This window comes from Homo sapiens, chromosome 9 (assembly GCF_000001405.40).
Source record: "Homo sapiens chromosome 9, GRCh38.p14 Primary Assembly".
NCBI classification, from domain to species: Eukaryota; Metazoa; Chordata; class Mammalia; order Primates; family Hominidae; genus Homo; species Homo sapiens.
In genome coordinates, this window is record NC_000009.12 from 114322861 (window position 1) to 114346463 (window position 23603).

General features: G+C 52.5%; 3 protein-coding genes across 19 annotated transcripts in view, besides 1 other annotated feature; 2 read left to right on the plus strand and 1 right to left on the minus strand.

Annotated features, from left to right (window-relative positions):
- Positions 238-3619, plus strand: ORM1 (orosomucoid 1). The gene is made up of 6 exons (NM_000607.4): positions 238-387; positions 803-945; positions 1158-1228; positions 1930-2037; positions 2189-2292; positions 3432-3619. Exons 1-6 carry the CDS (start codon positions 274-276, stop codon positions 3495-3497), a joined length of 606 nt encoding a protein of 201 aa, NP_000598.2. The 5' UTR covers positions 238-273; the 3' UTR covers positions 3498-3619.
- ORM2 (orosomucoid 2) lies at positions 7009-10391 on the plus strand. The gene is made up of 6 exons (NM_000608.4): positions 7009-7158; positions 7574-7716; positions 7932-8002; positions 8707-8814; positions 8966-9069; positions 10209-10391. Exons 1-6 carry the CDS (start codon positions 7045-7047, stop codon positions 10272-10274), a joined length of 606 nt encoding a protein of 201 aa, NP_000599.1. The 5' UTR covers positions 7009-7044; the 3' UTR covers positions 10275-10391.
- AKNA (AT-hook transcription factor) overlaps positions 7644-23603 on the minus strand; it is a 67969-nt gene continuing 52009 nt past the window's right edge. For 12 of the 17 annotated variants that reach the window (XM_006717294.2, XM_011519065.3, XM_005252245.2 and 9 more), the window contains 5 exons: positions 23003-23149; positions 20848-20943; positions 19149-19265; positions 18673-18865; positions 11296-14446 (listed from right to left, as the gene is read on the minus strand). In XM_006717294.2, the coding sequence (XP_006717357.1) occupies positions 14194-14446; positions 18673-18865; positions 19149-19265; positions 20848-20943; positions 23003-23149 (806 nt within the window). In that variant the 3' untranslated portion in view covers positions 11296-14193. Of the gene's footprint in view, positions 14447-18672; positions 18866-19148; positions 19266-20847; positions 20944-21145; positions 22113-23002; positions 23150-23603 lie in introns of those variants that run through there. The other 5 variants (NM_001317952.1, NM_030767.5, XR_929844.4 and 2 more) reach the window with 4 other exon arrangements.
- Positions 11182-11682: an enhancer, noted in NCBI's record as "H3K4me1 hESC enhancer chr9:117096322-117096822 (GRCh37/hg19 assembly coordinates)". NCBI's record gives its function as "activates a minimal SCP1, AML or CMV promoter by ChIP-STARR-seq in naive H9 embryonic stem cells {active_cell/tissue: H9 hESC(naive)}" and the evidence as "EXISTENCE:reporter gene assay evidence [ECO:0000049][PMID:30033119]".

Sequence of the window (23603 nt, forward strand, 5' to 3'; positions counted from 1 at the left end):
CACCCACCTTGGCCTTGGGCAGCCATACTCTAGGGCTTTTGTAACCTCTCCATGTGAGGAACTCAAATTAGACCTGGGTTTGGAGGCGGTGCTCCGAGCTGGCCTTTGGGGGAGGTTTTGTGCGAGGCATTTCCCAAGTGCTGGCAGGATTGTGTCACAGACACAGAGTAAACTTTTGCTGGGCTCCAAGTGACCGCCCATAGTTTATTATAAAGGTGACTGCACCCTGCAGCCACCAGCACTGCCTGGCTCCACGTGCCTCCTGGTCTCAGTATGGCGCTGTCCTGGGTTCTTACAGTCCTGAGCCTCCTACCTCTGCTGGAAGCCCAGATCCCATTGTGTGCCAACCTAGTACCGGTGCCCATCACCAACGCCACCCTGGACCGGGTGAGTGCCTGGGCTAGCCCTGTCCTGAGCACATGGGCAGCTGCCTCCCTTCTCTGGGCTTCCCTTTCCCTGCTGGCTGTGGTCGGACCCCCACTCCCGGCTCTGCCTTTTTCTCTTCTGGGTCCCCAGGGTGAAATTCTCACCAGCCCAGGGGACTCTGGAGGCACCCCCTGCCTCCAAACACAGAAGCCTCACTGCAGAGTCCTTCACGGAGGACGGTTCTGTGCTGGGCCTGGAGGGGCTGCCTGGGGGGCAATGACTGATCCTCAGGGTGAGCTCCTGCATGCGCACTGCCCACCAGGGGCCTCATCTCCCCATCTGCAAAATCAGGGAGAGATCTGCCTGAGTCTCCTCCCAGCTGACAGTCAAAGATTCAGCATCAAGCCCCCATCACCAGCTCCCACCTTCTCCCCAGATCACTGGCAAGTGGTTTTATATCGCATCGGCCTTTCGAAACGAGGAGTACAATAAGTCGGTTCAGGAGATCCAAGCAACCTTCTTTTACTTCACCCCCAACAAGACAGAGGACACGATCTTTCTCAGAGAGTACCAGACCCGGTGAGAGCCCCCATTCCAATGCACCCCCATCTCAGCTTCTGGCCAGAAGACCTGAGCAAGTCCCTCCTTCTTCCTGGCCTTGGCCTTCCCATGGGTGGAACCGGGAGGGCTGGCTTTAATCTCCACCAGACTCTTGCCCCAGGACTGTGATGGGCGATTGGCCACTTCTCAATAATCTTCCTGTTTTCCTTCCGCCTTCTGTTTGGCTTTAGACAGGACCAGTGCATCTATAACACCACCTACCTGAATGTCCAGCGGGAAAATGGGACCATCTCCAGATACGGTGAGGGCCAGCCCTCAGGCAGGAGGGTTCACTGTGGGAACAGGGCAGGCCAGCATAAGGTGGGGGCTGGATGTAGAGCCCTGGAGGCTTTGGGCACAGAGAAATAACCACTAACATTTTTGAGCTCTAACGATGTGCTCAGAAACAACTCTAAGAGGACACTGAGAGAATTAGAGGAGGAAAAAGAAGAACAGAGACCTCAAATAGTTTCCCCAAGGTCACACAGCTTATAATTAGAACTAGAATTGGAACTCCAGGCTGGCTTCAGATCTGCCTCTCTCTCATGCCCTCTTTAAGATCCTTTGCAAACCAATGGTAGAAGCCTGTATGTTGGAGAGGTGGTACCTTCAACTATGTCCCCCATCACCGCAGAGGTGGCACATGGCAGGGAGCTGATGGAGCTGAACTGACACCATTTAGCATCCCGAGCCTCCTCTCTGGGCCTCATTTTCCTCATCTGTAAAACGGAGAAAGGCCCTGACAGCCACGGTCTGTGTGAGGCTCCTGAGATCTCATGTACAGAAAGTGCTTGGCGTGGAGCTGGGCATGCAGCAGGGGCTGGGCACACGGTGGCCCAAAGGAGCCCTGGGCCTTCACTGATGGGCTGTGTGGCCACTGACACACCTAGGCCTCCTCACCTGTAAGACAGACACCATTGTGCCATCCCATGTTCTCACCCAGAGGCTCCTTTTCTCTTCCAGTGGGAGGCCAAGAGCATTTCGCTCACTTGCTGATCCTCAGGGACACCAAGACCTACATGCTTGCTTTTGACGTGAACGATGAGAAGAACTGGGGGCTGTCTGTCTATGGTAGGCATGCTTAGCAGCCCCAAACTCATGCCCCTCTCAGGCCTCACCCCCCATTCACCCACCCCTGGGCTGGCCCCTAGAACCCCAGCCCTCCCTGGCCTCCCGCCGGGCCCCACCATGTCCCCAGTCAGTCTCCTTGCTCCCCCTGCAGCTGACAAGCCAGAGACGACCAAGGAGCAACTGGGAGAGTTCTACGAAGCTCTCGACTGCTTGCGCATTCCCAAGTCAGATGTCGTGTACACCGATTGGAAAAAGGTAAACGCAAGGGATTGGACAGTGCCCACCTTGTCCATGGCCCAACTTGGGCAGCCCCAGAGGCCCAGAGCAGGAGAGCTGCCAGGCAAGGCTGCACAGCTAGGCAGATCTTCTGCTTTTAGGCACCTGCCTCACTGTAGGGACAGCTGAGCTCTACAGAGGCCCAGGGGTGGTGGATGAGAGCCCAGGAGGGAGAAGTCCCTGTGAAACCAGGGAGGACCTGAAAGCTAACAGGAGGGAACAGCGTGAGCCACGGGGTTGGGGGATTGGCAATTGGAGGGGACGTAATGCGGGGAGTTACCACCTACAGACGCGTCCCAAACCCCAGGCTTTCACCCCACCTCCACTCCCCACTCATTTTTAATACCCGTGCAGTGGGGAATTGATACTGTGGTTTTCAATGTCACCCACACTGCAGCACGGCCACAGTCACCATCCCGATTTTTGCTACAAATGAAAATTACTTTATAATGAGCTCCTTAACACTTTTCTTTAAACCTGTGTTTGGAAGACTTGCGTTGGTGTGGCCCTGTGCCCAATACCTGTGAAATCACAGCACCGATGAGCTGGTTCCAATTTTTAAAATATATACATGCAGTACTTCCATGACTATTCAAAGAAAAACAATTCCTTCCATTTGCCATCTGAGATGACCACCAGTGGTGTGAACTACCTCCTGCCCCCATCTGCAGTCCCAGGATCCTGGGACAGGGCTTATGAACACAACCACTGTAGTCAGCTCACCTGATCCACAGCCTGGCACCCCCACTGTCTGGCTAGGGAGCCTCGAATGGGTCCCAAGGCCACCCTGCTCCTCAGTTACATCATCTGCATAGTAGTGGTGGTTGTGAGGAATTCAGGAGCTGCAGCATAAGGGCTCGGCAGGTCCTAAGTGCACAGTAAATGCCAGTGATTCTTAAGAGTCTGAGCTCCCATTGTAGAGGCAAGTAAGCTGAGGTTCAGAGACAGAAAATGACTTGCCCAAGATCACCCAGCTGGGAAGTGACAGTGCCAGGGTTGGAGCCCTGGTTGAGCTGGTTCCACAGGCCAGAGCTCATTCTGCCCTCTCCCTGGAAGACCTCCCACCCTGTCCCCATGCCTCTGCTTCTCCCTCACCCCAATTCCCCGCTGCCTTCTAGGATAAGTGTGAGCCACTGGAGAAGCAGCACGAGAAGGAGAGGAAACAGGAGGAGGGGGAATCCTAGCAGGACACAGCCTTGGATCAGGACAGAGACTTGGGGGCCATCCTGCCCCTCCAACCCGACATGTGTACCTCAGCTTTTTCCCTCACTTGCATCAATAAAGCTTCTGTGTTTGGAACAGCTAAGCTGTTAGTCATTTGTTCATTCATTCATTCTGAAGCCTGCCCTGAGTTCAACCCTGGCTGGGCACTGGATAAGACGCTGTCCCTGGTGGGAAGAGCCCCACACGTGCCAGGATGGAGGATGACAGGCACCGAGTGCTGTGGGAGCCCAGCACTGTGGGAAGACATTTTCTTCTGCAGGGCGAAAATCTGGGAAGGCTTCCTAGAAGGGGCATCTGAACCAATCTAGAAAGATGAGGAGCATAATACAACCTGCTGTTCTGTGTACAATGTGTGATGATCAAATCGGGGTCATTTCCACCACCTCAAACATTTACCATTTCTTTGTGTTGGGAACATTATCACACAGTTCCCCATAAATATGTACATTATGTGTCCATTTAAAACAATACAAGCAAACAAATGTGAATTTCTAAACTGAGACTACTGTAAGGCCTTTCTCCTAATAGCAAGATTGTAATAAAACTTCAACTAGTCATAAAAAAAAATCCTTTTCTGTTTCTGCTGCAAGCAAGGAAATGAGAGGATGCATTTGAGTAACCTTGAGGCAGAAGACCCTAAACAGGAGTGGAGGTGTGATATTGTTTGGCTCTGTCCCCACCCGAATCTCACATGGAATTTTCAGCCCCATGTGTTGGAGGCGGGTCCTGCTGGGAGGTGATTGTATCACGGGGCTGGTTTCTAATGGTTTAGCCCCACCTCCCAGGTGCTGTTTCTCACAAGGTCTCATTGTTTAAAAGTGTGTAGCACCTCCCCCTTCGCTCTGTCTCTCCTGCTGTCTTGTGAAGAAGGGACTTGCTTCCTCTTTGCCTTCCACCATGATTGTAAGTTTCCTGAGGCCTCCCAGCCATGCTTCCTCTGAAGCCTGCGGAACTGTGAGTCAATTAAACCTCTTTTTTTCATAAACTACCCAGTCTCAGGTAGTTCTTTATAGCAATGTGAGAACAGACAAATACAAGGTGGATGGGGTGGGGAGAGTTCAGGCATGTGGTGCCTATCACAAGGACCTTATTCCAGTATTACCATGGCCATCGGGGGAGGCACGTTGTGGGGACCAGGCTGGAGGCAGGAAGGCCTGAGTGAAGGCTGCTGTGGGCAACTAGGCAAGAGGCGGTTGCCTGGGCCAGGACAGGGCAGGGCAGGGAAGGGCTGGGGTGATGCAGAGGGCTTGGGGCCCAGGCCAGAGGGGCTGGGTGTCTCCATGGACGTGTCCTCAGGGTGCTCACCTGGGAGACCCAGAAGAAGGAGACAACACGTAAGGGTGAGGCTGGTCCCTGGAAATCAGTTGACATCTTGCAAATGTGGAGCCCTGAGGTGGAGCCAAGCCCGAGGCACAGCCCACTCAGTGGCACAAGCCACGAAGGGCCGGCCTCACCCAGACCTGGGGGCTCATGATTGACAGCCTCTTGTTACGTGAGGGAAGCAGCACTCCTCCCGTGGCAGAAAAGTTGGGCCTGAGTTGTTCCATCTATTCCGTATGTGCAGCTGCGTACACCATACAGGGTGATAAGACCATGAGCCTGAGGCTCTGACACCCCAGGGTCCAGTCCTGTGTCCTCAGGCACCACTCCCCTTTGTACCTCCTGTCCCAACAGCCAAGCTCCACAGGGCCAAGACTACAGCATCCTTTGCTCAGCACCCAAACCACTGCTGTGCCCACAGCACGGAGGCTGGGGACACCGAGCTGATGTCCTCAGAAGGCAAGTGGACAGGACAGCCTCTGGGGTCCCACAGTGGCCTGGAACTGAAGGCTCAGAACCTAAAAGAAGTTTCCCCATTTCAATGTTACTTTCAGTAAGACACCATTTTCAACCATACTGAGGAGGATCCGCTGAAAAATGAAACAGAAATGAGTCGTGATGGGCAGGGCAGGGAGAAGCAAGGGAGACGAGAAGTGGGGAACATGGAAGGAAAAGCCACGTGAGGAAGAAACCAGAGGTCAAGAGAAAAAGAATCATGGAGGTAGAGGAAGCAAAAAACACACATAACAAAGAATGTGGACTTTGGAGTCAAACTAATGTGAGTCCAAACCCAGGCTCTCTCCCAAACCAGTTTGGGCAGATGGCCCAGTGGAACCTCACTCTCCTCATCAGTAAAAAGGGGGCAGAGTGAGGGTCCTGAGAGCTAGTACAGGGACTGTGTGAAGTAGACAATGCCCAGTGTTTAGCGTAAGAATCAGGGTCCAGCTGGTGCTCCCTAAACAGCAGCTGCTGTTCACTGTTGAAAGGCGCTCTGGAAGGCCAGGCGCGGTGGCTCATGCTTGTAATCCCAGCACTGTGGGAGGCCGAGGTGGGCGGATCACCTGAGGTAGGGAGTTCGAGACCAGCCTGACCAACGTGGAGAAACCCCATCTCTCCTAAAAATACAAAATTAGCCAGGCGTGGTAGCACATACCTGTAATCCCAGCGACTCGGGAGGCTGAGGCAAGAGAATTGCTTGAAACCAGCAGGGGAGGTTGTGGTGAGCCAAGATCGAGCCATTGCACTCCAGCCTGGGCAACAAGAGCAAAATGGCGAAACTCCATCTCCGAGAAAAAAAAAAAAAAGAATACTTTCTGAAAGTATTTATTCATACAAATAAAGACTTGACCCATAAGGTAGGAACGCAAATGGGCCACGGAATCACTCATTCCACAGTATACACCGAGTGCCCTTGAAGTGCTGGGCACTGCTCCAGGATTGGGGGCATATTGGTGAAAGAGAAGCAAGCTGCCTGCTCAGATGGCAGGGAATGGGGAAAAACAGGGAGACAGTTTCCTGTTTGAGATGTTGGGAGATGCTTCGAGTAGTATATTTACTGGAAATAGACATTCAACTTGGATGTCCCTTTTTGGAAATGTGCCTGCGTCCAGGGCTGGGTTGGGGCCCCAATGAACTTTGGCTCTGACATAGCTGTTGCCACACTCAGTGGAACTGAATCCATGTTTGCCTTCACCCGGCATCCTTCACCCCAACTCTCCCCGCCACAACATACATCCCATGCCAGCCTGGGGACCCTCAAAGGTGCTTCATCATTAGGTTTGTGGCTGGGTCCTACTGAAGTAAGTCTTGGCACTCAGAGGGATAGGAATTGAATGAAGACATGAGATTCCTCTGCGGGAGGCCTCTCTAGGAAATCTGTGGACTCACACGTTTACTAATGTTGCTGCAGCCCCGCACCCACCTTGGCCTTGGGCAGCCATACTCTAGGGCTTTTGTAACCTCTCCATGTGAGGAACTCAAATTAGACCTGGGTTTGGAGGCGGTGCTCCGAGCTGGCCTTTGGGGGAGGTTTTGTGCGAGGCATTTCCCAAGTGCTGGCAGGATTGTGTCACAGACACAGAGTAAACTTTTGCTGGGCTCCAAGTGACCGCCCATAGTTTATTATAAAGGTGACTGCACCCTGCAGCCACCAGCACTGCCTGGCTCCACGTGCCTCCTGGTCTCAGTATGGCGCTGTCCTGGGTTCTTACAGTCCTGAGCCTCCTACCTCTGCTGGAAGCCCAGATCCCATTGTGTGCCAACCTAGTACCGGTGCCCATCACCAACGCCACCCTGGACCGGGTGAGTGCCTGGGCTAGCCCTGTCCTGAGCACATGGGCAGCTGCCTCCCTTCTCTGGGCTTCCCTTTACCTGCTGGCTGTGGTCGCACCCCCACTCCCAGCTCTGCCTTTTTCTCTTCTGGGTCCCCAGGGTGAAATTCTCACCAGCCCAGGGGACTCTGGAGGCACCCCCTGCCTCCAAACACAGAAGCCTCACTGCAGAGTCCTTCACGGAGGACGGTTCTGTGCTGGGCCTGGAGGGGCTGCCTGGGGGGCAATGACTGATCCTCAGGGTGAGCTCCTGCATGCGCACTGCCCACCAGGGGCCTCATCTCCCCATCTGCAAAATCAGGGAGAGATCTGCCTGAGTCTCCTCCCAGCTGACAGTCAAAGATTCAGCATCAAGCCCCCATCACCAGCTCCCCCCTTCTCCCCAGATCACTGGCAAGTGGTTTTATATCGCATCGGCCTTTCGAAACGAGGAGTACAATAAGTCGGTTCAGGAGATCCAAGCAACCTTCTTTTACTTTACCCCCAACAAGACAGAGGACACGATCTTTCTCAGAGAGTACCAGACCCGGTGAGAGCCCCCATTCCAATGCACCCCCATCTCAGCTTCTGGCCAGAAGACCTGAGCAAGTCCCTCCTTCTTCCTGGCCTTGGCCTTCCCATGGGTGGAACCGGGAGGGTTGGCTTTAATCTCCACCAGACTCTTGCCCCGGGACTGTGATGGGCGATTGGCCACTTCTCCTCGATAACATTACTGTTTTTCTTCCGCCTTCTGGTTGACTTTAGCCAGAACCAGTGCTTCTATAACTCCAGTTACCTGAATGTCCAGCGGGAGAATGGGACCGTCTCCAGATACGGTGAGGGCCAGCCCTCAGGCAGGAGGGTTCACCGTGGGAACAGGGCAGGCCAGCATAAGGTGGGGGCTGGATGTAGAGCCCTGGAGGCTTTGGGCACAGAGAAATAACCACTAACATTTTTGAGCTCTTACCACGTGCTCAGAAAAAATCCCTAAGAAGACACTGAGAGAATTAGATGAGGAAACATAAGAACAGAGACCTCAAATAGTTTCCCCAAGGTCACACAGCTTATAATTAGAACTAGAATTGGAACTCCAGGCTGGCTTCAGATCTGCCTCTCTCTCACGCCCTCTTTAAGATCCTTTGCAAACCAATGGTAGAAGCCTGTATGTTGGAGAGGTGGTACCTTCAACTATGTCCCCCATCACCGCAGAGGTGGCACATGGCAGGGATCTGATGGAGCTGAACTGACATCATTTAGCATCCCGAGCCTCCTCTCTGGGCCTCATTTTCCTCCTCTGTAAAACGGGGAGAAAGGCCCTGACAGCCACAGTCTGTGTGAGGCTCCTGAGATCTCATGTACAGAAAGTGCTTGGCGTGGAGCTGGGCACGCAGCAGGGGCTGGGCACACGGTGGCCCAAAGGAGACCCGGGCCTTCACTGATGGGCTTTGTGGCCCCGGACACACCTAGGACTCCTCACCTGTAAGACAGGCACCATTGTGCCATCCCATGTTCTCACCCAGAGGCTCTTTTTCTCTTCCAGAGGGAGGCCGAGAACATGTTGCTCACCTGCTGTTCCTTAGGGACACCAAGACCTTGATGTTTGGTTCCTACCTGGACGATGAGAAGAACTGGGGGCTGTCTTTCTATGGTAGGCATGCTTAGCAGCCCCAAACTCATGCCCCTCTCAGGCCTCACCCCCCATTCACCCACCCCTGGGCTGGCCCCTAGAACCCCAGCCCTCCCTGGCCTCCCGCCGGGCCCCACCATGTCCCCAGTCAGTCTCCTTGCTCCCCCTGCAGCTGACAAGCCAGAGACGACCAAGGAGCAACTGGGAGAGTTCTACGAAGCTCTCGACTGCTTGTGCATTCCCAGGTCAGATGTCATGTACACCGACTGGAAAAAGGTAAACGCAAGGGATTGGACAGTGCCCACCTTGTCCATGGCCCAACTTGGGCAGCCCCAGAGGCCCAGAGCAGGAAAGCTGCCAGGCAAGGCTGCACAGCTAGGCAGATCTTCTGCTTTTAGGCACCTGCCTCACTGTAGGGACAGCTGAGCTCTACAGAGGCCCAGGGGTGGTGGATGAGAGCCCAGGAGGGAGAAGTCCCTGTGAAACCAGGGAGGACCTGAAAGCTAACAGGAGGGAACAGCGTGAGCCACGGGGTTGGGGGATTGGCAATTGGAGGGGACGTAATGCGGGGAGTTACCACCTACAGACGCGTCCCAAACCCCAGGCTTTCACCCCACCTCCACTCCCCGCTCATTTTTAATACCCGTGCAGTGGGGAATTGATACTGTGGTTTTCAATGTCACCCACACTGCAGCACGGCCACAGTCACCATCCCGATTTTTGCTACAAATGAAAATTACTGTATAATGAGCTCCTTAACACTTTTCTTTAAACCTGTGTTTGGAAGACTTGTGTTGGTGTGGCCCTGTGCCCTAATACCTGTGAAATCACAGCACCGATGAGCTGGTTCCAATTTTTAAAATATATACATGCAGTACTTCCATGACTATTCAAAGAAAAACAATTCCTTCCATTTGCCACCTGAGATGACCACCAGGGATGTGAACTACCTCCTGCCCCATCCCCAGCCCCAGGATCCTGGGACAGGGCTTATGAACGCAACCACTGTAGTCAGCTCACTTGATCCACAGCCTGGCACCTCCACTGTCTGGCTAGGGAGCCTCGAATGGGTCCCAAGGCCACCCTGCTCCTCAGTTACATCATCTGCATAGTAGTGGTGGTTGTGAGGAATTCAGGAGCTGCAGCATAAGGGCCCTGCAGGTACTATGTGCTCAGTAAATGCCAGTGGTTCTTAAGGGTCTGAGCTCCCATTGTAGAGGCAAGTAAGCTGAGGTTCAGAGACAGAAAATGACTTGCCCAAGATCACCCAGCTGGGAAGTGACAGTGCCAGGGTTGGAGCCCTGGTTGAGCTGGTTCCACAGGCCAGAGCTCATTCTGCCCTCTCCCCGGAAGACCTCCCACCCTGTCCCCATGCCTCTGCTTCTCCCTCACCCCAATTCCCCGCTGCCTTCTAGGATAAGTGTGAGCCACTGGAGAAGCAGCACGAGAAGGAGAGGAAACAGGAGGAGGGGGAATCCTAGCAGGACACAGCCTTGGATCAGGACAGAGACTTGGGGGCCATCCTGCCCCTCCAACCCGACATGTGTACCTCAGCTTTTTCCCTCACTTGCATCAATAAAGCTTCTGTGTTTGGAACAGCTAAGCTGTTAGTCATTTGTTCATTCATTCATTCTGAAGCCTGCCCTGAGTTTAACCCTGGCTGGGCACTGGATAAGACGCTGTCCCTGGTGGGAAGAGCCCCACACGTGCCAGGATGGAGGATGACAGGCACCGAGTGCTGTGGGAGCCCAGCACTGTGGGAAGACATTTTCTTCTGCAGGGCGAAAATCTGGGAAGGCTTCCTAGAAGGGGCATCTGAACCAATCTAGAAAGATGAGGAGCATAATACAACCTGCTGTTCTGTGTACAATGTGTGATGATCAAATCGGGGTCATTTCCACCACCTCAAACATTTACCATTTCTTTGTGTTGGGAACATTATCACACAGTTCCCCATAAATATGTACATTATGTGTCCATTTAAAACAATACAAGCAAACAAATGTGAATTTCTAAACTGAGACTACTGTAAGGCCTTTCTCCTAATAGCAAGATTGTAATAAAACTTCAACTAGTCATAAAAAAAAATCCTTTTCTGTTTCTGCTGCAAGCAAGGAAATGAGAGGATGCATTTGAGTAACCTTGAGGCAGAAGACCCTAAACAGGAGTGGAGGTGTGATATTGTTTGGCTCTGTGTCCCCACCCGAATCTCACATGGAATTTTCAGCCCCATGTGTTGGAGGCGGGTCCTGCTGGGAGGTGATTGTATCACGGGGCTGGTTTCTAATGGTTTAGCCCCACCTCCCAGGTGCTGTTTCTCACAAGGTCTCATTGTTTAAAAGTGTGTAGCACCTCCCCCTTCGCTCTGTCTCTCCTGCTGTCTTGTGAAGAAGGGACTTGCTTCCTCTTTGCCTTCCACCATGATTGTAAGTTTCCTGAGGCCTCCCAGCCATGCTTCCTCTGAAGCCTGCGGAACTGTGAGTCAATTAAACCTCTTTTTTTCATAAACTACCCAGTCTCAGGTAGTTCTTTATAGCAATGTGAGAACAGACAAATACAAGGTGGATGGGGTGGGGAGAGTTCAGGCATGTGGTGCCTATCACAAGGACCTTATTCCAGTATTACCATGGCCATCGGGGGAGGCACGTTGTGGGGACCAGGCTGGAGGCAGGAAGGCCTGAGTGAAGGCTGCTGTGGGCAACTAGGCAAGAGGCGGTTGCCTGGGCCAGGACAGGGCAGGGCAGGGAAGGGCTGGGGTGATGCAGAGGGCTTGGGGCCCAGGCCAGAGGGGCTGGGTGTCTCCATGGATGTGTTCTTAGGGTGCTCACCTGGGAGACCCAGAAGAAGGAGATAACACGTAAGGGTGAGGCTGGTCCCTGGAAATCAGCTGACATCCTGCAAATGTGGAGCCCTGAGGTGGAGCCAAGCCCGAGGCACAGCCCACTCAGTGGCACAAGCCACAAAGGGCCGGCCTCACCCCAACCTGGGTGCTCGTGATTGACAGCCTCTTGTTACGTGAGGGAAGCAGCACCCCTTCCGTGGCAGAAAAGTTGGGCCTGAATTGTTTGAGCAATTCCACGTGTGCAGCTGCGTATACCATCCAGGGTGATAGGACCATGAGCCCGAGGCCCTGATGTCCTGGGGTCTAGTCCTGTGTCCACAGGCACCACTCCCCTTTGTACCTCCTGTCCCAACAGCCAAGCTCCACAGGGCCAAGACTACAGCATCCTTTGCTCAGCACCCAAACCACAGCTGTGCCCACAGCACGGAGGCTGGGGACACCGAGCTGATGTCCTCAGAAGGCAAGTGGACAGGACAGCCTCTGGGGTCCCACAATGTCCTGGAACTGAAGGCTCAGAACCTACAGGAAGTTTGTCCATTTCAGTGTTACTTTCAGTGAGACACCATTTTCAACCATACTCAGGAGGATCCGCTGAAAAATGAAACAGAAATGAGTCATGATGGGCAGAGCAGGGAGAAGCAAGGGAGACGAGAAGTGGGGAACATGGAAGAAAAAGCCACGTGAGGAAGAAACCAGAGGTCAAGAGAAAAAGAATCATGGAGGTAGAGGAAGCAAAAAACACACATAACAAAGAATGTGGACTTTGGGTCAGACCAATGTGAGTTTAAATCCAGGTTCTCTCCCAAACCAGTTTGGGCAGATGGCCCATTGGAACCCCACTCTCCTCATCAGTAAAAGGGGGGCAGAGTGAGGGTCCTGAGGGTTAGCACATGGACTGTGTGAAGCAGACAATGCCCAGTGCTTAGCACCGGAATCAGGGTCTAGCAGGTGCTCCCTAAATGGCAGGTGCTGTTTGCTACTGAAAGTACTGGAAGGCTGGGCGCCATGGCTCACGCCTGTAATCCCAGCAATTTGGGAGGCTGAGGTGGGTGGATCACCTGAGGCTGGGAGTGCAAGATCAGCCCGACCAACATGGAGAAACCCTGTCTCTACTAAAAATACAAAATTAGCCAGACGTGGTGGTGCATGCCTGTAATCCCAGCTACTCGGGAGGCTGAGGCAAGAGAATCACTTGAACCCGGGAGGCGGAGGTTGCAGTGAGCCGAGATTCCACCACTGTACCCCAGCCTGGGCAACCAGAGCAAAACTCAGTCTCAAAAAAAAAAAAAAAAAGAAAAAGAAAAAAGAAAAAAAAAAGAAAGAAAGGAGCACTGGAGAGTCCAGGTGCATACTCTTGTAGACAGCAACTTGCTGTGTGCCTCATTTACATCTCTGGCCTCAGTCAAAAGGGACTTGGCTAGGCAGCCCCACCTCAAGGCCCTCCGCAGTTGAAAGATTTATGGTTCTGAGATAGGCAAAGGGGGAAAACTGGAGAAACAGAAGCCACCAGAGGGAGGCAGGCAGAGCACCCAACAGGTCCCCTGGGAAAGGGCTTGGCTGGGCATCAAACCTACCACCCCATAAACTTGACATTGAAGGCAAAAGTTAATGACATACAGCAGAGACACGGATGGCTTTGGGTATTTTTTTTGTCTTCTTTTCTTTTTTTAAGATCAATATTCATTCTTCATTTGCCCTCGTAACGAAAATAGATTTTTAAATGCCTCAAATATACAAACATCATTGATGCACACACATTCCAGAAATGCAGAGGTATGCTGCTGCCACGGGGTAGGGGTGCGGGAGGCGGCCTGGCCTCATGGCCGCAGACCGTGCCCCAGCCCGGGCCTGGCAGGTAGCTGGCCACTGATAAACGCCACTGGGATCCTAGGAGAAGCTGGGGACCATGCGTGAGGTACTGAAGGGGACCATGGTGGATGGCATCCTGGGCACTTTGTAGCTTGTCTGAGGGAAAGGCCTCTGCTGCCATAGAAAAGCTGGACACATGTCACCCTGGGGCCCTGACATCCTAAAATGCCCCACTGACTACCAGTCACTAGGAGAAAGGTCTCCGGCTATGCCCTTCCCAGTGATGCTTGCCCCAGAGTGACTGGTCACAGGTGGGGGACAGGTTTGCTCCAGAAACCGTAGGCCTTTCTTGTCTGGCCCCCTAAAGAGGACCCAAGATCAGGAAAACTCCCCAGTTTAAAAAAATATCTGTCCATCTGTATATAAAATACCTATTATTAGCTGGAGTTGCACACATGCAGGACCAGGAGAGACTGCCTGAGGTTCTGCCTGGACCGAAGGAGGCCTCGCTCACAGCACCTCTGTGAGGGGACTGGTGCTCCTGGGAAGTCACTTCTCTTGGTGACCGAGCTGACACCCCCTCCACTTGGAAAGCACAGGGACTGAGCAGGCGGGACCTGTGCTGGAGGGAGACCCTCCTGGTGAGGAACTATGCGGGCCTTCTGGGCCTCAGCAGCTCCAGCCCACTCCTGGCCTGGCAGGCCACCTGCCCACCCACCCACCCATCTGCCTCTGGGCCCCCAGTGAAGTCAGAAGAGGCAGGAGCCCCGCAGGCTGTGAGCCTGGCGCAGGTCGGCTGACAGCGAGCTTCTCATCTGCCTGGTGGTAGAGCGGACGCTCTCGGCAGCCTGCACGGCCCGGCTCAGGGCCTTGTTGAGCTCCTCTAGGTCGCCCAGGTCGAGCTGGATGGAGTGCCGGTGTCTCCGGGCTGGTGGGGGAGAGGCTGTGGGCGGCCACTTGGCAGCTGGTTGGGCTGAGGTAGGTCCTGCAGGCGCATAGTACCTGAGGAGAGAAGTGAGTGGGCTCGTTACACATGGGGAGGGCTGGGGACAAGCCGAGGAGCACCGTGTGTGGGGTCAACCCCCTTCTAAATCCCAGCTGGGCCAGTGGCTCCTACTCTCTGGGTCTCAGTTTCTTTACCTCTAAAATGGGAATAATGGGCACACATCCAGGGATTTCTTAGAAAGATGAAGGAAGATAACAACATGAGTGCCTGACCCAGAACAGGTGTTCAAGGACAGGAAGTTCAATCTACCTGTTCATCTGATTTACTGCCCATCTAGTACATGCCAGCCAGCGTGCCAGGCTCTGGGGTTACAGTGGGACAAGAAAACATGGACTCCTGCAATCTTCTTGGAGCCGGATCTTGGGGAGGCCAGGATCACCCTAGGCTTGATAGCAAAACCCCCTCATGGAAGAATATCTGGGGGTTCCATTTGCCAAGCAAGGGGTGCTGGAGAAAGGCAATAATTAATAATTAATAATAGTAATAATAATAATAATAGGGATTCTGCAGGAGTGGGAGGGTCTGGCCCCATGTCCTGGGAAGTGGGTAGAAGAGCATCCTTCCTAGCCCAGTCCTATAGGAATGTGAGGTGTTGTTTTAAAGTGCTGTGGGAATGGGCTGACAAGCCCATTGAGATGAAGCACGGATTTCCCTAAGAGGTGACAATGGCATCCATCAGGGCCACTAAGTTTAGGGTTCAAGGAAACCAGCAGTGGGCAAGAGGGGGTGTGGCCTCAGCACTGTTAAATAAAGGGTGTGTGTGGTGGAGGAGGGAGATAAAGAAGCATGGACCTAAATCAGGAATAAGTTTAGGAGGACGCAGCAGAGTCATTCATTGGCATCTTGCTTGGCACACTGTAAACTCTGGCTTTATTCCTGAGCCCCTGCTGTCTAACTTGCATTGTTATACAGTGTGTAGAAACAGATGATCCAAACAGACATTTCTCCAAAGGAGCTATTCAAATGGACAATACGTACATGAAAAGATGCATATCCTTAGCCATCAGGAAATGCAAAGTGAAACCACTGCACACCCTCTAACATCAAAAAGGACAGATAGCAACAAGTGTTGACAAGAATGTGGAGAAACTGGAATCCTCAGCACTGCTGGTGGGAATGTAAATGGTGGAGCCACTGTGGAAAACAGTCTGACAGTTCCTCCAACAGTTAAACCCAGTGCCTAGCCCAGGGCTGGCATCCTCATCTTTGGTACCCATGTACCAGTTGGTGCCTTTATCTTTATTTTACAGATGAGCAAAGCGGAGCTCAGAGAAGCTAAGTGATTCAGGAGGCAGTAGAATGCACCAGCCTTAGCAGCTCAGGCCCTGGAGCCCTGCCCCAAATCCCAGTCATTCTGCTGGGCTACTCATGGGACTCTGGACAAGCTAAGTCACTTTGCAAGGCCTCTGTTTTCCCACCTAAAACGACCACAGTTAGCAACCTCTCAGCTTAGAGCTGATGGAAAATTCAGGTAAAAAGCTGGCACTGCCTGGCTCCGGTAAGTGCTCCATAAACGTGAGCTCCTAAGACCCAGAGTCAGACAGCTGGAAGGGGCAGCCATGGGTTCACACCTGGGCCCGACTCTCCCCACATATCTAATGTGTGCTAATTGGCAAGCAGCAGATGCTGATAAAATAATCTGAACTGTATGAACGGGCTTCTTGCATCCCCAAAACAGCAGCCTGCACTCCCTCCTCTAGGGACCGTCTGGTGTAAGTAACTACAGAGGCTCCTCAAATTACGATGGGGTTATGCCCCTATAAACCCGCTGTAAAGTCGAAAAATCATAAATCGAACCATTGTAAAAGTAGGGACTGTCTGGGCTGGGTTTTCATACACCCCCACCTTCTGTTAATTTGATGACCAACTTGGCCTGAAAGTTACCCAAAACTCTCCCTAGGGCCAACACTGAAAAAGTCCCTCTGGGCTGGAAAGTCTCGGCTGCAGGGGCTATGGGACGGCTGCCCAGCAGGGGGCAGCACAGGCCCACTCCGCTTTCCAAACTACACTGGTCTCAACCACTGGGCCCGTTCAGTCCTGCTGACCAGCAGCTGGAGAAATTTCAGGGTGTCACCAGCGCAAATTCTAGCAGCATTAGAAGCACCATCATTATTGGCAACTTCTATGTACTATGGGCTTTCCATGCATTAATTCATTCAATCCTCAGCACAACCCATTTCGCAGAGAAGGAAACTGAGGCATAGGTATAACCCGCCCATCCTGAGTTGGAAACAGCAACCTGGTGAGTTCTGCCCACAGGCCTGAGCCTGGAAGAATGTGAAATGGGGCCTCAGGAGAAGTAAAGACTCCATGGCTACCGTGGGGTCACCAAATTCTGGGCAAAACCTTTCCCGATCAATGAGTTGGAACACTGGCAGGCGCTTTCCCCCGTGTCTGCTGGAGGTCTGAGCATGCAGCATTGGTTCTCATCTCTGCTGGAGTGGAAGATTCCTTAGCGACTTGCTTAGACTCAGCTGAGAGGGCAGCAAGAAAGCAAATTTACATACCGGGCGCGGTGGCTACACCTTGTAATGCCAGTGCTTTGGGAGGCCAATGCGGGCAGATCACCTGAGGCCAGGAGGTCAAGACCAGCCTGGCCAACATGGCGAAACCCATCTCTACCAAAAATACCAAAAAAATTAGCCGGGTGTGGTGGCACACTATTGTATTCCCAGCTACTTGAGAGGAGGAGGCATGAGAATAGCTTGAATCTTGGAGATGGGGGTTGCAGTGAGCCAAGATGGCGCCACTGCACTCCAGCCTGGGCGACAAAGCCAGACCCTGTCTCAGAAAACACATATACATAAAAAATTTTTAAAAGCACATTTATAGGCCTGGTCCCCGAATAGAGGACCAGGGCTGGATGGCGCCTTGGGTCCCTGCTCCACCAAGCACCAGCCCTCACAGTGACGCAGGCCCTCACTGCCTACACACCCAGGCTTCTGGCAACACAGCCACTGAAGACATCCAGTCCCAATCGACTCATTTCACAGCAGGGGAAGCAGGCAGAGAAGTAGCTGCTGACAGCTGAGACAAGAAGACAGGTTTCCTACTTCTGGGGACTGGGCTTTTGTCCCTGCACAATCCTATCATGTTGAACCCACTTTTACTCCTTCTTCTTCCTACTAGTGACAACACTGAGCAATAGCAACATTCTCTGTGATGGCGAAGCTACTGTTTGCTCAGCAATGAGCACGTGACCAAATGGCACCACAAACTCCACACACTTCTCATTTGGTTCCTGCCACGTGCCACACTTAATCCTCACGCACAGGATTAAGTACGTGGTTGAGACTCTTCCTCCATTTAACAGATGGGGAAGTGGAGGCTCTGAGAGGAAGTTAGTTTGCCAAGGCCACAGTGCTACTAGGGGGCAGATGGGACTCCACGGTAGCTCTGGCCAACTCCAAACCCAAGCCACTTCTGTCTCGGCTGCCCTGCCTCTCCTGGCTTGACTGATGTTACGTCCAGAATCTGTGCAAAAAGTCCTACAATATTCCCGACCAGGACTCCCCAGAGATGTCCAGGTCATCAAAAACAAGGAAGGTCTGAGGATCTGTCACAGCCGAGGGGGCGTAAGGAGGCATGGCAATCGCATACCACATGGGATCGTGGATGGGATCCTGGAACAGAGACAGGACTTTGGAGGAAAACGGCCTGAAGGAACTACGAACTTCAGTTACCAATAATGTATGGATATTGCTTCACTAACGTGGCCAATGTGCCACATTATTGTAAGATATTAATAATAGGGGAAACTGTTTGTGCAGGAGTGAGGAGGATTGTGGGAATCTCTCTGGACTATCTGCTCAATTTCCCTATAAATCTAAAACTGTCCTAAAAAATAAAGTCTATTAAAAAAAACCCAGTGCTCATCACTTACTTGCGGAGAAAACCCATAAGGAAAATGGAAGATGGTTAGGATTCTCAGTCTCCACAAAGTTATAAGCTCCCAGAGGGCAGGGCCCTCTTGCTAGTCCCCTTCACTGCTGGGTCCCAGGGCCGAGCACTCTCCTTGGTACATGGGTTTGTTGAGTGCCTATATGAGTGTTGGCTTTGTTGAGTGACTATATGAGTGTTGGGCTCCTACTGCATGTTATCCACGCAGGGATAAAACACAGGAGGAGTATACTGCATCTCAGCTGCCCCACCCAGGTCTGAATGCTAACATATTCAGTGATCTATAGAAAGAGGCTGGGAAGGTCAGAATGAAGGCTCTTACACAGCGGCAGGTGGATAAGGCATGATGGGAACCGAGGAGATGTAGGCAAAGGCTGGAGGGGCTGGTGCTGGGGGCGCTGTTGCCAGATACCACAGTCCGGGGGGTGGGCGTGGCGACGACCCCGCCTGCTTGCTCCTCTGCTTGGGGCTGGGAGTTGAAGATGCTTTTCTCCTCGTGGTGGCCTTCTCTGCCCCTATCAGGGAGGGAACAGCACAGAGAGACAGAGTCTGACCACTTGGCAGATCCAGCCAAAGATGGAGGGTCCACCCAGCCCTTCCCCTATGAGAGCTGGACAGGCCCTACCCTGTGAGACTCCATGTCGGGGAGGTCTCTCTTTGGGGAACAAATCCTCTGCCCCAGTTGCTCTGTCCCAGACTGGAACAACAGCTGCTCCAGTTAAACTCACCCAGGTCTAATAACCCTGGTCAAGGAGAGCTGAGGGTCTGGCTAAGAGAAGAAACAGTATTTGTCCCTACCAGAGGTGGCTGAGCCTGGACCATCTGCCTCTGGGGGAGACCCAACTTGACCACACAGGGGACACTGAAGGGTATCAGCGGGAGGCGGTCCCAGTGGGTCCCCTGTGACAGCACCACCTAGAAGAGGAGGAAGAGATGTCAGGGGAGGATTACATCTAAATCATCAGATCAGGAGCCCCCATGCAGGCCTTCTGCAGCACTGAGCTCTCCTCGGGACCCACTGCGGAGGGGACAAGCTGCCTCCATCTGGGTGATGACATTGACAACAACCATGACAGTGAGAGCAAGCATTTAGTGAGCCAGGCCCTCTGCTAAGGGCCTTCCTGCATTATTTTATCAAATCCAACAAGCCACTGGGCTAGCCACTGTCCTCACTCCCCCACTTTACAGATGGGGAAATTAAGGGTCCAAGACGTCAAGTAATTTGCCAAGGGTCTCAGAGCTGGGAAGCAGTGGTCCTTGGATCCTAAGCCCGGGCTCTCCCAAATGCAGCCCAACCCCCCGCCCCAACCACAGTGAGACAGAGCCATTCTCCATGTGGGAGTGGCCCAGAACAGTCCCCTGGGGAACCAGGGGGGTCAGTAGAGGCAAAAGGGAACAGGAGGAGAGTGGGTGCCATTGTTCTCTTCCCACATACATCCCCAATGCCACACCTGGGTGAGTTCCAGGGCTGGTCTGTTTCTCTTTCAGGCCTTGGCTCAACCACCACTCCCTCTGGGAAGCCCTCCCACCCACCCCGGCAGAGTCAGGCACCCCCCAGCCCCACTCGTGCTCCCCTACCCCAGCTTTGGCCACTCTGCTTTGTTGTGTGTTCCTTGGGGACGGGGCCCAGGGCCCCATAGGGGTAAGTGATGAATGAATGAATGAATGAATGAATGCATGCAGGCATGAACGGAGAGGCCTGTCAGGACTCTAACACTAGCACAGGAAGAGCATAGTGGTGAAAAGGTGGGACTCTGGAGTCACAAAGACCTGGGTTCAAATCCTGCTTCTACCACTTGTAAGCTGTGTGCCCTTGGGCAAGTTACTTAATCTCTCTGAGCCTTGGTGTCCTTGTCTATAAAATGGACGTAATAGTACTGCAGTACTTAGTTCATAGAACTGTGAGGATTAATTTATGCAAAACCCTTAACATGACACCCTCTACAGAGAGGGACTTAATAAATGGCAGCTCATTATCATCAGTCATTATCATCACTATTGCTTGAAAAGTCCTAGAGACCATCTCTTCCAATCCTTTCATTATAGATGTGGTGACTGAGGTACAGAGAAGTCAAGGAACTGGCCTAAGGTCACACAGCAAGTCAGTGGCAGAACTGGGACTAGAACCCATTGCCTGGATTATCGGGCCACTGCTCTCTCTGCCACTCCTGTGGACTTGGGGGAAAGTATGAGGGGTGAAGGGAGGATGGAGGGGAGAATAAGACATAATCACTGATGCCAGGTCCCCTGCTGCCTGGAGGCCACCTATCAGGACCCTTCAGGAACTTCTTAAATCAAGGAGGGTGGCTTCAGGCAGCAGCACCTGAAGCAACAGATGTGACGGCAGGACACCCAGAAAAATCCTCTTCCCTGGTCTGTCCCTATAACCCACTGCTAAGTTCAGGGCAGGCCAGATCTTGTCAAGTACACACTCCCCTGAGGGCAAGAAGCTGCAGCCACAGCTGCCTGGGCCAGTTTTCCAGGTGCCATTCCTTACCCGCATCCTGGGTCCTAATGGGCCGGCAGTGGGGACAGGAGACTGTGCCATTGCCTTTTGGGACCGCCTTAGGGGACAGAACATGGTATTCGTGGCCTGGGGAAAGAAACCAGAACTGTCAGTATCAGCCCTGTGGATGGATGCAAAATAGAGGAAGATTCTGGAATAATGATCTCCTCTTCCTCCAAATGGTTTTAATAGTCTCTGTCTCTCTCTCACGTGTGCACACGGTGAGTGTGCATACACACATCATGTGTAAAATATGTACATATTTAAGTATGACACACATACACACATATACGTCACCGAACATCTTTGTGTCTGTTTATTGTAAGCTTTCTCCAGACTCCTATTCTGTTTCATCTCAGATCCTAGAACCAGCTGACATCCAGTAGCAACCAACACACCCAGGCTAAGTCAGGATTTGAAAGCAGGCCAGGAAGAAATGATAAGCAAAGCAACAATAAGAAATGAACAAGTGATGCTATTCCCCACACCCCGACTTGCTGGTTTGGTTCTGAATGGCTCGGGCACAGGGTCAGTGGTGTTTTCTCCCCATGCTCTGAGCGGCTGTAACATGGGGATAAACATAGCGCCCATTTCACAGGCTTGTTGGGAGAACTGAACGGGGCCGTATCCGTGTCGTGCTCCGCCCAGTGCCTGGCAGATGGAAAGCAGTTGATGTTATGAGAAAGCTGGGCGGACTGTGGCCTCCTCACCCAGCCCCACCACCTCCTGCCTTACCCACCCCTGAGTTTCAAATAAGGCCTTCTGGGTGACACCTGAAGCCACTGTGGAGCGGTCTCATCATCTCATTTCCCTCCTGTGCTGTTCTGGCTTTGTGTATGTGGAGCTGAACGTAATTGCTCTTATTTTCCCGACGCGACAGATGAGGAATCTGAGGGTCAGAGAGGCTCAGAGCCATTTTCTGTGAGACTGACTTCAGAGTCTTTGGTTTTGACTTCTATACTCTCTTCCTCTCATTGTGTTGGAAGCATTTCTCCAGGTTAAGCTCACTATTAAGGGTTAAGATCACCTTTAAAGGCTACAGAAAACCTCATCCAATGATATCATCTCTTTCCTTTTGCTAGTAAGTCCACAGAGAGATTGTCCGGTGAGCTTGGAGGTGTTCCTGCTACTGTCGTTTCTAACTCCTTGGCCTCTGTCCACTCCCTCGTTATGGTCCATGGAGCAGAATGTGCCTCTGGCCTCTTGCCTTGTCCCCAGAATCTGAGGTCAGCAGCCCTCCCTCTTCTGCAAGGTGTCTGTGAGAGATGATGCCTTTACTATAATTACCTATTGGTTATCATCTTCTCTGCTACAGTCAGATTCATGAAGGTGAGAACCATATCCATATATATATATATATATATATATTTATGTATTTTTGAGACGGAGTCTCACTGTCACCCAGGCTGGAGTGCAATGGCATGATCTTGGCTCACTGCAACCTCTGCCTCCTGGGTTCAAGAGATTCTTGTGCCTCAGCCTCCCAAATAGCTGGGATTACAGGCACCCGCCACCACACCCAGCTAATTTTTTTTGCATGTTTAGTAGAAACGGGGTTTTGTCACATTGGCCAGGCTGGTCTTGAACTACTGATCTCAGGTGATTCTCCCACCTCGGCCTCCCAAAGTGCTGGGATTAGAGGTGTGAGCCACCACACCCAACCCATATTTTTGTGTTAATGTTATAAGCACTTGAAATGCTACCATGTGTCATCTCAAGTCTTTACTCTGTGCCAGGTCCTGTTTCCTGAGACACAGGGGCCCTCTGGAAATGAGAACCTGAAGGAAGCCAGGTGCAAATGGGACATCCAATTCAGTGTCCACCCTGTATGCTCCGAGCCGGAAAAGCACAGGTGATCAGAACTTCTTTAGGATTGACCAGCTGAACAGACTTCCCAGAACCAAGCATGGGCCCTGGCAAAGGGGAAGCATCAGAAAGTGTTTGCTGAATGAATGAATGAATGAATGAATGAACAAGTGCACCGAGATTCATGGAGGCAATGCTCCCTGCTGGTTTTCATATCACAGAACTGATAGAAAATGATATTTGAATGGCCCACTGGGTATATGGAAAGGGCTTCTCATAACAGAGGAGCCCCCGCTGACACCAGGAGCTGCACCCATCCCGGCCCTCCCTCCTGACCTACCTGTGTATTGGCCCCGGAAGGTGACCCTGTCTGGCCATCCAGCACTGCCCACCCCTCTCTTTCCATCCCGAGCTGCCTGTGGACTGTCCTTGGTGGTCTTGCTCTTCTCAGAGAACAGTGGTAGGGAGGGCAGCTCAGATTCTGAACCTGGGGTAGAAAAAGTGGGGCATCAGAGGGGGCAAGGGGTGGGGGTCACATTTCTCAAGGAGTGGGTATGCCATGAGTTTAGGCTCTGGGGTGGATGCCTGGGTTTTAATCCCCAGTCTCCCCCTTAGGAGTAACAGCTGGCATTTCCAGAACCCTGCCCCCGTGCCAAGCGCTAGTCTAGACGCTCTGTGTGTGCCGTGTTGGGCACCTTCACAGCAATCCCACGATGTGGACACTGTTATAACTACATGGTGAGCTGTCCCTTTAACTGCTCAGAGCAGGTAAACAACTCGGCCAAGGACAAGTGGAGGGGAGCTCGCTGATCCCGGCTACTGACTCCAGAGCCCTGATCCTTTAGCACATCCCCTGCGCTCATTGGGCTTCAGCGCCCTTATCTGTGAAATGTGGATAATATGACCATCTTGCAGTGGAGGTTAAGCAAGACAGCAGCTAC